Source organism: Homo sapiens, chromosome 5 (genome assembly GCF_000001405.40).
Source record: "Homo sapiens chromosome 5, GRCh38.p14 Primary Assembly".
Taxonomy (NCBI): domain Eukaryota; kingdom Metazoa; phylum Chordata; class Mammalia; order Primates; family Hominidae; genus Homo; species Homo sapiens.
Genome location: NC_000005.10, coordinates 144,157,174 through 144,170,806, shown reverse-complemented (window position 1 = coordinate 144,170,806; position 13,633 = coordinate 144,157,174). Strand labels below are relative to the sequence as shown.

Sequence of the window (13,633 nt, the reverse complement as noted above, 5' to 3'; positions counted from 1 at the left end):
CCTAACCAGGCTGCCGGAAGCACTTTCCTCTTTGGCACGGGCCAGCCGCAGGTTGGGTAGATACTGCGCAAGCTCCATACTCGTGTCTCCTCCTCCCGCCCACCGGTGCCCAACCTGCTAACACGCCTGCGCGAGCGGGCGTGCCCCGGAAGCCGTTCTTTGGCCCTGTGACACGTAGCAACGGGGCTGGTTCAGGGTCTGAAACAGAGTTTGGGGGTTGTTTGGGATTAGTGAAGCTACTGCCTTTGCCGCCAGCGCAGCCTCAGAGTTTGGTGAGTGACCCAGGCCCGTGGCACAGTGTTCAGCTTCTCTCCACACCCGTGCAAATGGGCTTGTTGCCGTCTTTCGGCGCCGCGCCCTGGTCCTTTCGCTCAGACCCTCGCTCTCATTCAAGCCCTTGCCCTGACGCGGTCCCCTGCACCTCAGGCGCGACCTTCCAGATTCTGCACTTTTTCCTGGCAGGCCGCAGGCCTTATTTTGCAAGGAAGCAGTCGCCTTGTCAGCTGTAAAGCCCAGTCCTAAGGTGAAAAATCATCTTTGTTGTTATTGATATTTTAGACCGCTTATGGAACCACAACTCCCACGACCTCGCCCCTAATGGAAGGCATATCAGCTCTTTAAGGTGGAGTTGTCTTACTGGGCCGCAACTTAAAAGAATATACATTTTCTTACTCTCTCTCCGCTACCGTCGTTCAAATGCTGCGTACTTTCCGCCCCCATCCCCTCTCCGAATTACTGAAAAAATATTTGTTGTGTTTCTATTTGCTTAAGCAGACTGCCAGGAACGAATTCAGTAGAACCTTGGGCATAAGGAATATTTGCCATTTCTCTTTTATTACAGATTATTTGCAATGTCAGGCTTTGAAAACTTAAACACGGATTTCTACCAGACAAGTTACAGCATCGATGATCAGTCACAGCAGTCCTATGATTATGGAGGAAGTGGAGGACCCTATAGCAAGTAACTTTTCATCTTTGGCAATTAATTTAGTCTACATTGCAGTGAAAACACATATTTAGAATATTTGGTTCTGCCTAAAACAATATGTGAACATGTCCTTTATCAGGAGTATGATCTTTCATGCATAATCTTCTTCCTCTAGAGAGATATGTGACACTGGCTTGGCTTCGAAGGTATTGTTCTATTTAAGAGTTGAGTGTCTTCTGCAAACTCTTCAGGTGTACCATGAATGGAAAAGTAGCTTGTTTGAAGAACTGTTTTCTAGTAACAGTATTTCTGTATTTAGAAGATGATGGGAGCTTCAGGTACCTAGGAGATAGGCTGTTAGTTCATAGGACCAGTGAAAAATTAAAGTATTTTGTTAGTAGTTAAATCAGTCCAACTCTGAGACTTTTATCAGTGCTAATTGAAAGTGCTTAGTGACATTATTTAATGATGTAAGCTCCTTATTACGAATCATCAGGCGATTTTCATACAGCAGTTGATAATCATTTTTATTACTCCTCCTTCTCAAACCCTTATGGTCAGTGCCACACGTGTTATAAGTTGCATACTGAGGAGGTTGACTCAAAGCCGTTAGCCTCTGAACATTTTTTTTTAAATGATCTTTTTATAGTACCTGGTGTTTGTGACAAAAATACATGAACTGAAGGCTTTCTAGCAATCTCACCTAAAACATCATCTCCTTAGTTTCTTAGGACCCTAGAGATAATCTTATCAGCTTCCTGTCAAATAAAGGAGCTTCCTATACTAGGATTGCTTAAACTTTTTTAGATGGTTCTGGATCTCTTTGAGAATCCTATTACAACTGGGCCTCTTTCCCATAAATACATGCATTCACTCAAACACCCAAATAAATGTGCATATATAACTTCAGACAATTCATGTGTTAAATGATGTTCATCATGGATCCCGAATTTGAAACCTCATAAAGACTGTTCCACGATGAGGGCAGGGGAAGGTTATGTATCTGTCAGTTTGTGAGAAACATGCAATACAGGAATGTGTTTGGATTAGAGTGCCCAAGAATTTAAAAAACAAAACAAAATTCAAATTCACTGTGGCTCTGTAATAGTGTCTGTCTTGGTTAGGCTATCCTTTCTAAAACATATAGTCTCTTTGAGTCTGCTTAATTTGGTATATTTTAAGGCTTTGTTTTCCCCTCTAAAACTTAACACATTTGAACAATGGGAGTGAGCATGTCAAAATACCCCGTGATTCATTTCTCTTTTCTGTTACTTAATTACATACCAATGAGGATTTATCTCTTTTGATAAATTAATGGGCAGAGTTGGAAAATTTGTATTGAGGTATTTCCATTCATTTATTTACCTAAATATGTATTTTTGGTGATTGCTCTGTGTATAGGAGAGCCAGAGTCCATCTAATAAATCCTTGCCTAAAGCAGCAACACAGCTTCGGAGAACCTGTCTCTCTATGCAGGCCTGTTTTTATCCGAATGGTTTTTATGATTAGAACTCAACAGAGCTATTCCATTTAGATTGCAGCCTACGAGATTTATCTGCCTCTGCTTTTCTTTTCTTTTCTGTCCTGTCCACGTTTGCATCACTTAAAAGGTGTGACTTACAGTCTCATTCCCTTTAACAGTCATTTCAGTTCTCCACACAGCAATTTAGATATTCTAAACAACTTGTTGCTGGTTAGCACCTGTTGCCAACTGTTCTCACAGTTTCATTCCAACCAAATCATGTACCAGTAAGCATTGCTTCAGTACTAGTGATGAAGTTTTATTCTGGGTGATTATATAACCATTATTGCTATAAACTTGGGTTTATAGATGATGCCTGGGAAAACAAGAAGCCTAATGTATTAACAGTAATAAATTTGAGTTTCTGAGATTTATTTTGTAAAAACTGGACTCTTCTGTGCGTACCTTCAAGTAGATCTGCAATCTAATGACATTTTAAATGTCCATCTCCGTTAACCAAATAATATTTTGTTTGATTTGCTAATTTAGTAACAAAGATCCGCTAATAACTTTTAGCTCTCCATTGGTGAAAATCTAGGTGCAAATAGCATATTACTTGCATTGTCTTTATGTTTTTAACTTGACTTGTTATTAGTACACAGTTCTGCATTTGCCATAATGAAGTCAGCTTTAACATTTTTTGGTTTCCTCTATAGGTGTTTCACAAGTATCATTCATAGATCCATTCACCAAAAAAACAAAAACAAAAAAGTATAAAAGGCCCTTTGATCATAATCTGTTGAGTTATATAAATGGAAAATTGGACAGGTTCCACATTGTATTCTAGATATGCTTATGAAATATATCATAATACCAAGTCACATTTTTTAAATTATGAAAGCTGTTATTTTTTTTCTTCTTTGACTTACCTGGTAGTATCTTTATGGAATATCTGAGGTTTTCCATGAACTTAGGTAACCAACCCAATATGTTAAGAGGCTTTGTCTTTGTTACTGGTACAGAGTACTTATGAGAGTATTGATTTAGTATCTGCTGCTTTTCATGTTGTTTTAGCCTGTAAAGATCGTGTCTGCCATACCATGTTTTAGTTTAAAACCAGCAGGAACAAGTCAGAAATTTTCCTGAATAGGTCCTGCCAGAAAAGGAAAATAGTAAAATTCTATGATATTGTCATTCTCACCTTTCCTCTTGAAGATGGAATGATGGTGCCACCTTTGAAACAATCAACTGCTTGCAGTACTTTTCTTCCTTACATGAAATTTATTGGTCTGTATCAGCAACTCTCAAAATTTAGGCTGTAGACTACAGAGGGTCCTTGAGACTCTTCTGAGATTCTTTAAAGTCAAAGTTATTTTCATAACAATACTAAGATATCATATACCTTTTTAGGTATGTTAACATTTGCAGTGCTGTTGCAAAAGTATTGATTGGTAAAACTGCTGGTACCTGAGTATGAATCAAGGTAGTGGCATCAAGTTGTTCTAGTAGTCATCATATTATTCATCACTCTATATACTTGTTAGAGAGTTGGCAGACAGTCAGTTTCATTTAAGGATTCTCTTGAGGAAGCAGTAAGAATTATCTTTTTATTAAACCCTGACCCTTTAGTACATATATTTCTTTAATATTCTTTGTGAAGAAATTTAGTGTTTACTGCATACTAAAGTACAATTACTGCCTCTACGAAAAGCACCTGTGCAAGCTGAACTGGCTGTTATTTCATGAAGACCATTTTTATTTGAAAGAACAACTGATAAACTATGGTTATTCAGACTTGAGCATTTGGCAGATATTTTCTCAAAAACGAATAGAGAGCCTCACCCCAAGGAAAACAACTGACATTATGACTATAAGAATTTAAATGGGAATTAGACTAAAGGTTTTCTAAGGCTTCTCAGCTCTCATTTTTAAGAATATCTTTTAAAATAATTATTTTACATCTGTGTTTCTTAGTATATCATTAGATTAGTCCCATCAGTAAGTTGGATTTTTTCAAAACATGATGGAACAGATGCGTAAAGATGTGGCTTCAGTATCCTCTTCCCTCTTGCTATTGTCACTAAAATAGCTGTGATAAGCCTTTCCCTCTAGATGCAGGGTTTGCTATAGCACATATCAAATGAGACAATAAGTGTATAACTACTTTGAAAAATAGTACTTTGCTAAAGTACTATTCAAATGCAAAGTGTACTAAAAATCTTTTGTTACATTCAGCAAGTGCTCACAAAGCAAAAGCTTGATTTGTCCACTCTGTTTTTAAATTGATGGTTTTTCTTAAAGAGATTTGTCCGCTTGCCAAAAGTAACATACTATGAAGAGTAAAGAAGAATGATAATTCGATGGCTATCCAAATTACAGTGAAAAATTATATAACATGTATTACAAAGTCTGACATCCTAAGGTTTCATTCAGTCTTAGCCATAGATTTTATTTCATAGTGTATCTTCATATTGTATATATCCACTAAGGGAGAAAAATAGACACAATTTTTACATTTTCATTTGTTGACCTCCTAACCTTTAACAGTTTGTAAAATGCTTAGTGCTATGTAAGTGAATATTGGTATCATTAAGAATATTTTCTATAAAAATTATGATTTTTTTATTGTAGATAATAAGCTTGATCTTAGTGATCATTTCAACCATGATTTATAAAAATTGGCAAAGTTTGTACCTGAGGAATTTCACAACTAAGGTTCTTTAGCTGTCACATGAAAATTTAGGAATTTAAGGGATATTAACTGTACAGAGTTGAAATACCTCTGAAAAATTTAACTTTCTTTCATTTATAGACAGTATGCTGGCTATGACTATTCGCAGCAAGGCAGATTTGTCCCTCCAGACATGATGCAGCCACAACAGCCATACACCGGGCAGATTTACCAGCCAACTCAGGCATATACTCCAGCTTCACCTCAGCCTTTCTATGGAAACAACTTTGAGGATGAGCCACCTTTATTAGAAGGTAAGATTTGTTGCAACACTTGATAGTACTCAATAGTATTCAGCTGGTTAGTGAAAATTAATCTTAATTTGGAGAAATTGTCTTTTCCTTTAAAAAAAATAATCTGTAGAAAAAAGTTTTCTGCTAAACAACTCATTTTAAACAGAGTATATGCGAAACCACATTGGGCCAGAGGGGACCAGATTTTTAATAGATCTTTTAATAGTGATAATAAAGTATGTTACTATGTCAGCATCGACTTTTACTTCAGGTTATTGACTAAATTCTGCTAGTGGGAAAAGTGAGAAGAAAAAGTGTGCTATCCATTATTCTGTGTGGAAATAAACTGGCAGAACTAGTGACATCACTAAAAAAATGGTGATTTTCAAATTGTGTTCCAAAACCTAGGAAGTGGTAGTTCTGAACTTTTTTTTTAACTAGATAACTCTTTGAAAATCTAATGAAAGGTATGAACACTCTCCTCAGAAGAAATGCACACATATGCATAGAGACGTAGTTTTGTATACAGTTAAATGGGCCCCCGGGTATTCCTGAAGCCCCAAGTAAAGAACCCCTTACTGTTAACCCTTTTTGTATATTCTTTGCTATGCAGTCATACCTAAGGGATGTAATAAGTGTCTGTTTCATCAGATCCATACCCTTTTCCAACACCAATCCAGAAATGACATATTTGTGGGATGAGCACCACATTGAAGACTGGCATAGAGAGCTCACTGAAATAATATCATCCAGGCCAGGCACGATGTCTCAACGCCTGTAATCCCAGTGCTTTGTGGGGCTGAGGCTGGAGGATCTCTTGAGGCCAGGAGACCAGCCTGAGCAACACAGCAAGACCCTGTCTCTACAAAAAAAAAAAAGAAAGAAAGAAAAGAAAAAAATTAGCTCTGTGTTGTGGCGCACACCTGTGGTCCCAGCTACTCACGAGGCTGAGGCAGGAACATCACTTTGAGTTCAGGAGTTTGAGGCTATAGTGAGCTATGATCATGCCACTGCACTCCAGCCTGGGTGATGGAGACAGACCCTATCACAATAATTATAATAATAATAATATCATCCAATATTGCTAGATCCTTTTTTGATGCTATGTCATTTTGTCTCTTGTTTCAGGATAGATTTTGATGAATTAAAAATACATCACAAATCCTAATTAACTTTTAAATTTTCTTTCTCTTTAGAGTTAGGTATCAATTTTGACCACATCTGGCAAAAAACACTAACAGTATTACATCCGTTAAAAGTAGCAGATGGCAGCATCATGAATGAAACTGATTTGGCAGGTCCAATGGTTTTTTGCCTTGCTTTTGGAGCCACATTGCTACTGGTAAGATTTTCATTTCAACCTTCAGGGTGCAATTAAAGAACAGCCTTTAAATTTTAAATGTTCTACCAAAAGCCATTTTGAAACTCCGCTTTACACCTCAAGTCTTTGATGTGTTTGGAATAGTACTGAGTTGCTTGTATTTATACCTATTCATTAGTTCTCCATCTATAGTAAGTGTAGCATGTTTTAAAAATCATTTCTTTTTCTAAGAAATGATTAAATTATTAGGGGAAAAAACAAAAAAAAAATAGTAAACAACAGGTATAGCTTCAGTCCCTCATTAGAATTCTGCCTTTTCAGAGGTTACTTACAGTTTTTACACTATTGCTTTTTTTTTTTAATGACAGCATTTTTTTAAAAATCTCTAAACCTTGGTTAATATTTTGTTCTAGTCATACTGATGATTACTTTTCTATATAATTATTTTCCCAATTTATCACCTTCCCAAGAATGTTAAGGCATATTGAAAACAGAAAAGTTGTAAAGATAATTGTTAATATTTATTTTATCTTATGTCTCTGAATTATGAGAGATAACTAATGTAATATACGGAAGATGGGATTTTTAGTCATAAGAGCTGGGCTTGAACTGAGTGCTCCTGATCAGCCTTTGGCCACATCATTTAATCCTTCAGTTTCCTCTCATAGAAAATAATCCTATCCTTCTTACCTAGCAAGATTATTTTGAAGGTGAAACAAGACAGGTTATGTGAGAACACATTGAAAAGTTAAAAACACTGTACAAGTGTGAGTTTTTTTATTACTACATGAATTAATTCATCAATGAACTCAGCTGAGCTTTTTCAAACTTCTGCATTTTTAATCAAGTATTTACAAATAATCTAATAAAAGTCCCAATAATTTTTTTTCTTAACATAATCTGTAGAGGCATTCTCCTAATTTACTTTTTATGTGACAAAAATTGGATAAATCAATAATTTTTGGAGGCTTTTCTGTAAACTGGTTTTAGTGATAGTGTGACCTGAATACAAAGTTTGTTCACAAACTTCACTAACAGGATAATTCCAATTTAGCTAATCTTTGCAGTGCTTAAACTGTTTATTGTTGTCTTTTCTTAATCAAAGGGATGTATAAATCAGCCAATAATTTGGAAAAATAAAGAAAAAAATATCTTCCATTATATTCCTTTTGCCATTTCTTCTCTGTTCCTCACAGAACCCTGGCTTCCTGTTTATCCTGGCTTCCTTTCCCCTTGCTCCTCTAGCACCCATATAAAGTGAATCATAAGATTTCTTCTTAAAAAGATTATGACTACCTCCACCAATGAGAATTAATGCTTTGGGGCATTTTTGGTGGAATTAGGTACTTTCAACTGATATAACAATTATCTAGACATTTTGAACGGCTTTCCATCTTGTCTCTAGTTTATTTGCCTAAAATCATCCAGAGTTCTTTTTAGAAATCTTACTATTTTGGGTGATTCTGCTATGCTTTTGTCTCTTTATTTGTTCACTTCTATGCCAAGCCTACACACTAACTGGAAAATGGAGAACCAAATATCTCTGTACTTTAAAGTTACAAAGAATGTAACAAGCCAGTCTGCTCAGTCTTTTACTTCTCTACGTAAAGAATAGATAGATTAGTAGATTTTGATGCTCATAAATTATTTGCTACATGTACTGATTCAGGTGAAATAAGGCCAGAAATAACTTATTTTTTGCCCTTTAACCTGTAATCTTCTTTACCCATAGGCTGGCAAAATCCAGTTTGGCTATGTATACGGGATCAGTGCAATTGGATGTCTAGGAATGTTTTGTTTATTAAACTTAATGAGTATGACAGGTGTTTCATTTGGTTGTGTGGCAAGTGTCCTTGGATATTGTCTTCTGCCCATGATCCTACTTTCCAGCTTTGCAGTGATATTTTCTTTGCAGTAAGTACTGTTCTTTATTTTGGGGGTTGATTGACCAATTCTATGTAGTAGGATTCACCTCATCTTCAGTTTGAGATAAATCACCGATTCAGCAAACATATCAGATAGTGCCTCTTGTAGTAGGGACAGTGCCAAATGGTTTCGGATGAAGAACAATGGTAATGAGAATAAATTTAAAAACCTTTATACCATCTCTATTTTACTCATGATCAAGAATTTCACTAGTTTTGTGTTTACTTACCATTGTCATAGTGGTAACAAATTGAACAGGGTAATTATTAAATATTACATGAAAAAGGTCAAGTCATTAGTGTTCAAATTATGCTTACCCTCTTTGATATTTTCTAGATCCCACCTAATTTCTTCAAACCATTGGACATATGCCAAATGTACGAATAATAAATACATACTCTCTATTGGGCAGCTTTCTAACTGGAAATGAAATGTATTCTTTTTATGATAAGAGGCTGTTATCAGCCTGCGGTGTTTCTCAGATAGATGTACTTGTAAGCAGCTTTAAATATGGTGTAATTTTTAAATGATATTTTAGGTTAGGTTAAAAGGATAGGTATGGCCAGGCACGGTTGCTCACGCCTGTAATCCCAGCACTATGGGAGGCCTAGGCGGGCAGATCACCTGATGTCAGGAGTTTGAGACCAGCCTGACCAGCATGAAGAAACCCCGTCTCTACTAAAAATACAAAATTAGCCGGGCATGGTAGCACATGCCTGTGTAATCCCAGCTACTCGGGAGGCTGAGGCAGGAGAATCACTTGAACCCGGGAGGCAGAGGTTGCAGTGAGCCGAGATCGCCCTGTTGCATACTTCAGCCTGGGCAACAAAAGCGAAACTGTCTCAAAAAAAAAAAAAAAAAAAAAAAAAAAAGGAAGGAAAGGTATACATTACCGCCAATAAGGTTCCTCCTCTTGGCCAGTGTGCAGATTGTCTCAATATAAAATCCTCCATGTGACTAGTGTTAGACATTACCAGTGGTCAGGCTTTGTTACACTTTGAAAGCTAAAGTGGAGGTTTGGGAGGAGAAGAGACAAATATGTCGATTATTTATCCAATACAAGAAATTTGGCAAGATGATGCTTTACACTATTTCTGCTTTGAATAGAAATATTTCATATTTTCAGTGTAGAAATCACTCTTATTTATTAAGAATTTATATATTCATATTTGAATTTTACAGAAGTTATTTTCTACTAAAACCCTTTTTTCAACTAGGAACAATTTTGCCTCCAAGGGGACATTTGACAATGTCTGATGGGGGGCAAGGGTGCTACTTATATCTTATGTACAGAGGCCAGGGATGCTGCTGAACATTCTGACAGTGCACAGGACAGCCCCCACAACAAAGATAGCATCCAGCCCAAATGTCAGTAGTGCCAAGAATGAGAGACCTTATATTTTTAAAAAGTAAAACATAGTTCTAAAAAAGCTGTTTATCCCATGAAATGATTCACCATCATTGAATTTACTGTGAGGTACATTTTAGCATTTGAAAAAAAAAATCCTGATTATTTTTGCATATGTCTACTTGCAGATTTAAAATGTAAATTTAAAATGCTTTAGAATAGGTTATTGTAGTATTCTTACATAACTAATCTCATCTGCTTTTTTTTCTTCTCCCCCCTTTTTCCTTGTTGTTTACAGAGGAATGGTAGGAATCATTCTCACTGCTGGGATTATTGGATGGTGTAGTTTTTCTGCTTCCAAAATATTTATTTCTGCATTAGCCATGGAAGGACAGCAACTTTTAGTAGCATATCCTTGCGCTTTGTTATATGGAGTCTTTGCCCTGATTTCCGTCTTTTGAAAATTTATCTGGGATGTGGACATCAGTGGGCCAGATGTACAAAAAGGACCTTGAACTCTTAAATTGGACCAGCAAACTGCTGCAGCGCAACTCTCATGCAGATTTACATTTGACTGTTGGAGCAATGAAAGTAAACGTGTATCTCTTGTTCATTTTTATAGAACTTTTGCATACTATATTGGATTTACCTGCGGTGTGACTAGCTTTAAATGTTTGTGTTTATACAGATAAGAAATGCTATTTCTTTCTGGTTCCTGCAGCCATTGAAAAACCTTTTTCCTTGCAAATTATAATGTTTTTGATAGATTTTTATCAACTGTGGGAAACCAAACACAAAGCTGATAACCTTTCTTAAAAACGACCCAGTCACAGTAAAGAAGACACAAGACGGCCGGGCGTGGTAGCTCACGCCTGTAATCCCAGCACTTTGGGAGGCCGAGGCGGGCGGATCACAAGGGCAGGAGATCGAGACCATCCTGGTTAACACGGTGAAACCCCGACTCTACTAAAACTACAAAAAAAATTAGCTGGGCGTGGTGGCGGGCGCCTGTAGTCCCAGCTACTCAGGAGGCTGAGGCAGGAGAAGTGTGAACCCAGGAGGCGGAGCTTGCAGTGAGCCGAGATCACACCACTGCACTCCATCCAGCCTGGGTGACAGGGTGAGACTCTGTCTCAAAAAAAAAAAAAAAAGGAGACACAAGACTTACTGCAAAAATATTTTTCCAAGGATTTAGGAAAGAAAAATTGCCTTGTATTCTCAAGTCAGGTAACTCAAAGCAAAAAAGTGATCCAAATGTAGAGTATGAGTTTGCACTCCAAAAATTTGACATTACTGTAAATTATCTCATGGAATTTTTGCTAAAATTCAGAGATACGGGAAGTTCACAATCTACCTTATTGTAGACATGAAATGCGAACACTTACTTACATATTAATGTTAACTCAACCTTAGGGACCTGGAATGGTTGCATTAATGCTATAATCGTTGGATCGCCACATTTCCCAAAAATAATAAAAAAATCACTAACCTTTTTTAAGGAAAATATTTAAAGTTTTACAAAATTCAATATTGCAATTATCAATGTAAAGTACATTTGAATGCTTATTAAAACTTTCCCAATTAATTTTAACTGTGTTATTGAATTTACTTTTACTAAACTACTGTTCTCTTTGTCTCTTTTTTAACTAGGCTCTGATTTTGACCCCTAATTTAAGCTTTAAGAATAGAAATCAGCTAATATAGAATCAGACAAAAAGGGGATTAAATGAGCAGTTTGAGTTACATTATTTTATTGTATTAAATTTATTTGATTTATATTGTCATGTTCTCTTGCCAGAGAGAATCTGTAGGAAAATACTGTATCTTGTATACTGATCATTGGCTTTTTCTAGAAAAACTGTCTCTGATTCTGGACAAAGCTCAGTTATAGTTACGAGAAAGATATGGTACAGGGAGGAAAATACTGCCTTTTTTTTTTTTTTAAAGAGATTTTCAGACTAAATAGAAATGTCAAAATGATGTATCAATGGTTCTTTTTTAGAACAAGTTTTCAAAGCATAAAAAGAGGTTGAGAGAAATAACATATTTATTGATTCACATAAGTATGTTTTTCTTCATTAATCGTCTGGAGAAACCCACTTGTCATTAATTTGTTTTGGGCTAGGTTTTCAAACTTACCAAATTGCTTTAAAAAAGCAATTTGGAAGGTAATTTGATAGGCTTTCCAACTTAACCAAATTTTTTATTGTAATTCTTGGATAGTATTTTTGTCTTTTTCAATTCATTTGTCTTTTTCAGTATAGTTTTTGTTAAGGCAAATGTCTTCCCTTAATATCCAAATATTGCTAATAAACGGTAGAAGATGCTTTGGAAATTAAAATTATCTCGCTGTTGGTTAGACTTAACACTGTTAATCTTCAGCCAAATATCACATATGGATCAAATTATTTTCTTTTTTGTTGTTTACCCTATCCTCAACAACATTTTTAGTTTAAATTATTGTAGAGATTTTTTTTGTGGTGGTTATTTTTTATTTTGCTCCAAAATAATAAGGTGCAAAGCTATTTTATGCTTAACTGTTGCTCTGTCAAAACAGCTATGCAGTGGAGTTGCATTTGATGTTCTAGAGTTTGATTACATGCAGAGTTGTATATAGCCAAAACTTCTCTTATCAAACTCTGTTATGTAGGCATATTTATATATACATTAAAGACTGTTGTACTGTGTCTCAAAAAGTACTATGTGGCGCTTTTTTTTTGTCTATCATTGGAATAGATTGGTTTCTTCAGTTAAGTACCAGGTAGATTACCTGCCTTGCTTTAGGCCCATTTTATACTAAAAGCATGCAGGTATCTTTAAACACTAGAGACACCATAGCTAAAAGCTCATCCAGTGATTGTCATTGAGTAACTGAAACTCATCGTGGGGGTAACAGACTGAAACACGCCTTATCTCCAAATACTGTACTTGTGAGTGGAGTGGCAAATTGACTTAACACTAGTGTGTTACTCATACATGTATACATGCCAAGATCATGTAGTTGACTTTACATATGGAGTAAATGTATATTTTATAGCATTGCTATAATACTGTGTTTACCAATGGGTATTTTCAAGAGCTGTATAACTAGGCTTATGGAAATAGACATTCTTTTTCCAGTTATAGTTAGGCAGATTATGCAAAGTTCTAGAAATCTTAAGATACTATCCTTGGATAGTGGCCACCTAATCAAAGAGAGTTTTTTAAAATGTATCTAATGACATGATTTGGGATAGAATTTAGCATTGTACATTTGGTATTTTGCAAATTTGTATTTTTAACCTTAATAGGCATTGCTAAACTCAAATATGCTCCAAAGCTAAGTCAGTTGTCTCTAAAGTTAAAATTATGCAATTATGCTTGCAGTACTTACTACCTACAGAAAAAGGGAGCCTTTCTGATGTGAACTATACACTAGTTTTCTTTCACATAAATGGAAGAATTTTAAACTTTGGGTAAAGGGAAATTGTACAAGTTAAAATATTATTCTGTAGAGATGCTCTATATCATGAAGAGTTATGGGAAATCAAGGCTACATTTGCCATGCTGTTATATAAAGCAGATCTGATGTAGTTACTCAGACAAGTTGTTTCTCTTTCTTTGTGGGAAGAAAACAAAAAAAAAGTTGTATATAGCAAGTATTTAGCCTTTCATAAAGTAGTATGGAAAGTTTTCAAAACAATA

General features: G+C 35.8%; 1 protein-coding gene across 3 annotated transcripts, besides 2 other annotated features; it reads left to right on the top strand.

The window, feature by feature from the left end:
• Positions 7-286: an enhancer, noted in NCBI's record as "active region_23355". NCBI's record gives its function as "activates an Ori minimal core promoter by ATAC-STARR-seq in GM12878 lymphoblastoid cells {active_cell/tissue: GM12878}" and the evidence as "EXISTENCE:reporter gene assay evidence [ECO:0000049][PMID:35858748]".
• YIPF5 (Yip1 domain family member 5) lies at positions 148-12,645 on the top strand. 3 transcript variants are annotated; one of them, NM_030799.9, is made up of 6 exons: positions 148-272; positions 842-961; positions 5,203-5,375; positions 6,551-6,696; positions 8,408-8,589; positions 10,248-12,645. In NM_030799.9, the coding sequence occupies exons 2-6, from the start codon at positions 852-854 to the stop codon at positions 10,408-10,410; spliced, it is 774 nt and encodes a 257-aa protein (NP_110426.4). In that variant the 5' UTR covers positions 148-272; positions 842-851; the 3' UTR covers positions 10,411-12,645. The 3 variants fall into 3 exon arrangements, with proteins under 3 accessions (NP_110426.4, NP_001020118.1, NP_001258661.1); NM_001024947.4 differs by having other exon boundaries at positions 148-523; NM_001271732.2 differs by lacking the exon at positions 842-961 and having other exon boundaries at positions 148-523.
• Positions 5,580-6,779: an enhancer, noted in NCBI's record as "CDK7 strongly-dependent group 2 enhancer chr5:143543592-143544791 (GRCh37/hg19 assembly coordinates)". NCBI's record gives its function as "activates an origin of replication core promoter dependent on BRD2, BRD4, P300/CBP, MED14 and CDK7 cofactors, with strong dependence on CDK7, by STARR-seq in HCT116 cells {active_cell/tissue: HCT116}" and the evidence as "EXISTENCE:reporter gene assay evidence [ECO:0000049][PMID:35650434]".
• Positions 12,646-13,633: the final 988 nt, after the last annotated feature.

Bases quoted from the DNA above. Each gene is read 5' to 3' on its own strand.
- YIPF5 (NM_030799.9), top strand. From the start codon at position 852: ATGTCAGGCTTTGAAAACTTAAACACGGATTTCTACCAGACAAGTTAC. The intron at 5,376-6,550 runs GTAAGATTTGTT...CTTTCTCTTTAG, and splicing joins TGAGCCACCTTTATTAGAAG to AGTTAGGTATCAATTTTGAC. The intron at 6,697-8,407 runs GTAAGATTTTCA...CTTTACCCATAG, and splicing joins TTGGAGCCACATTGCTACTG to GCTGGCAAAATCCAGTTTGG.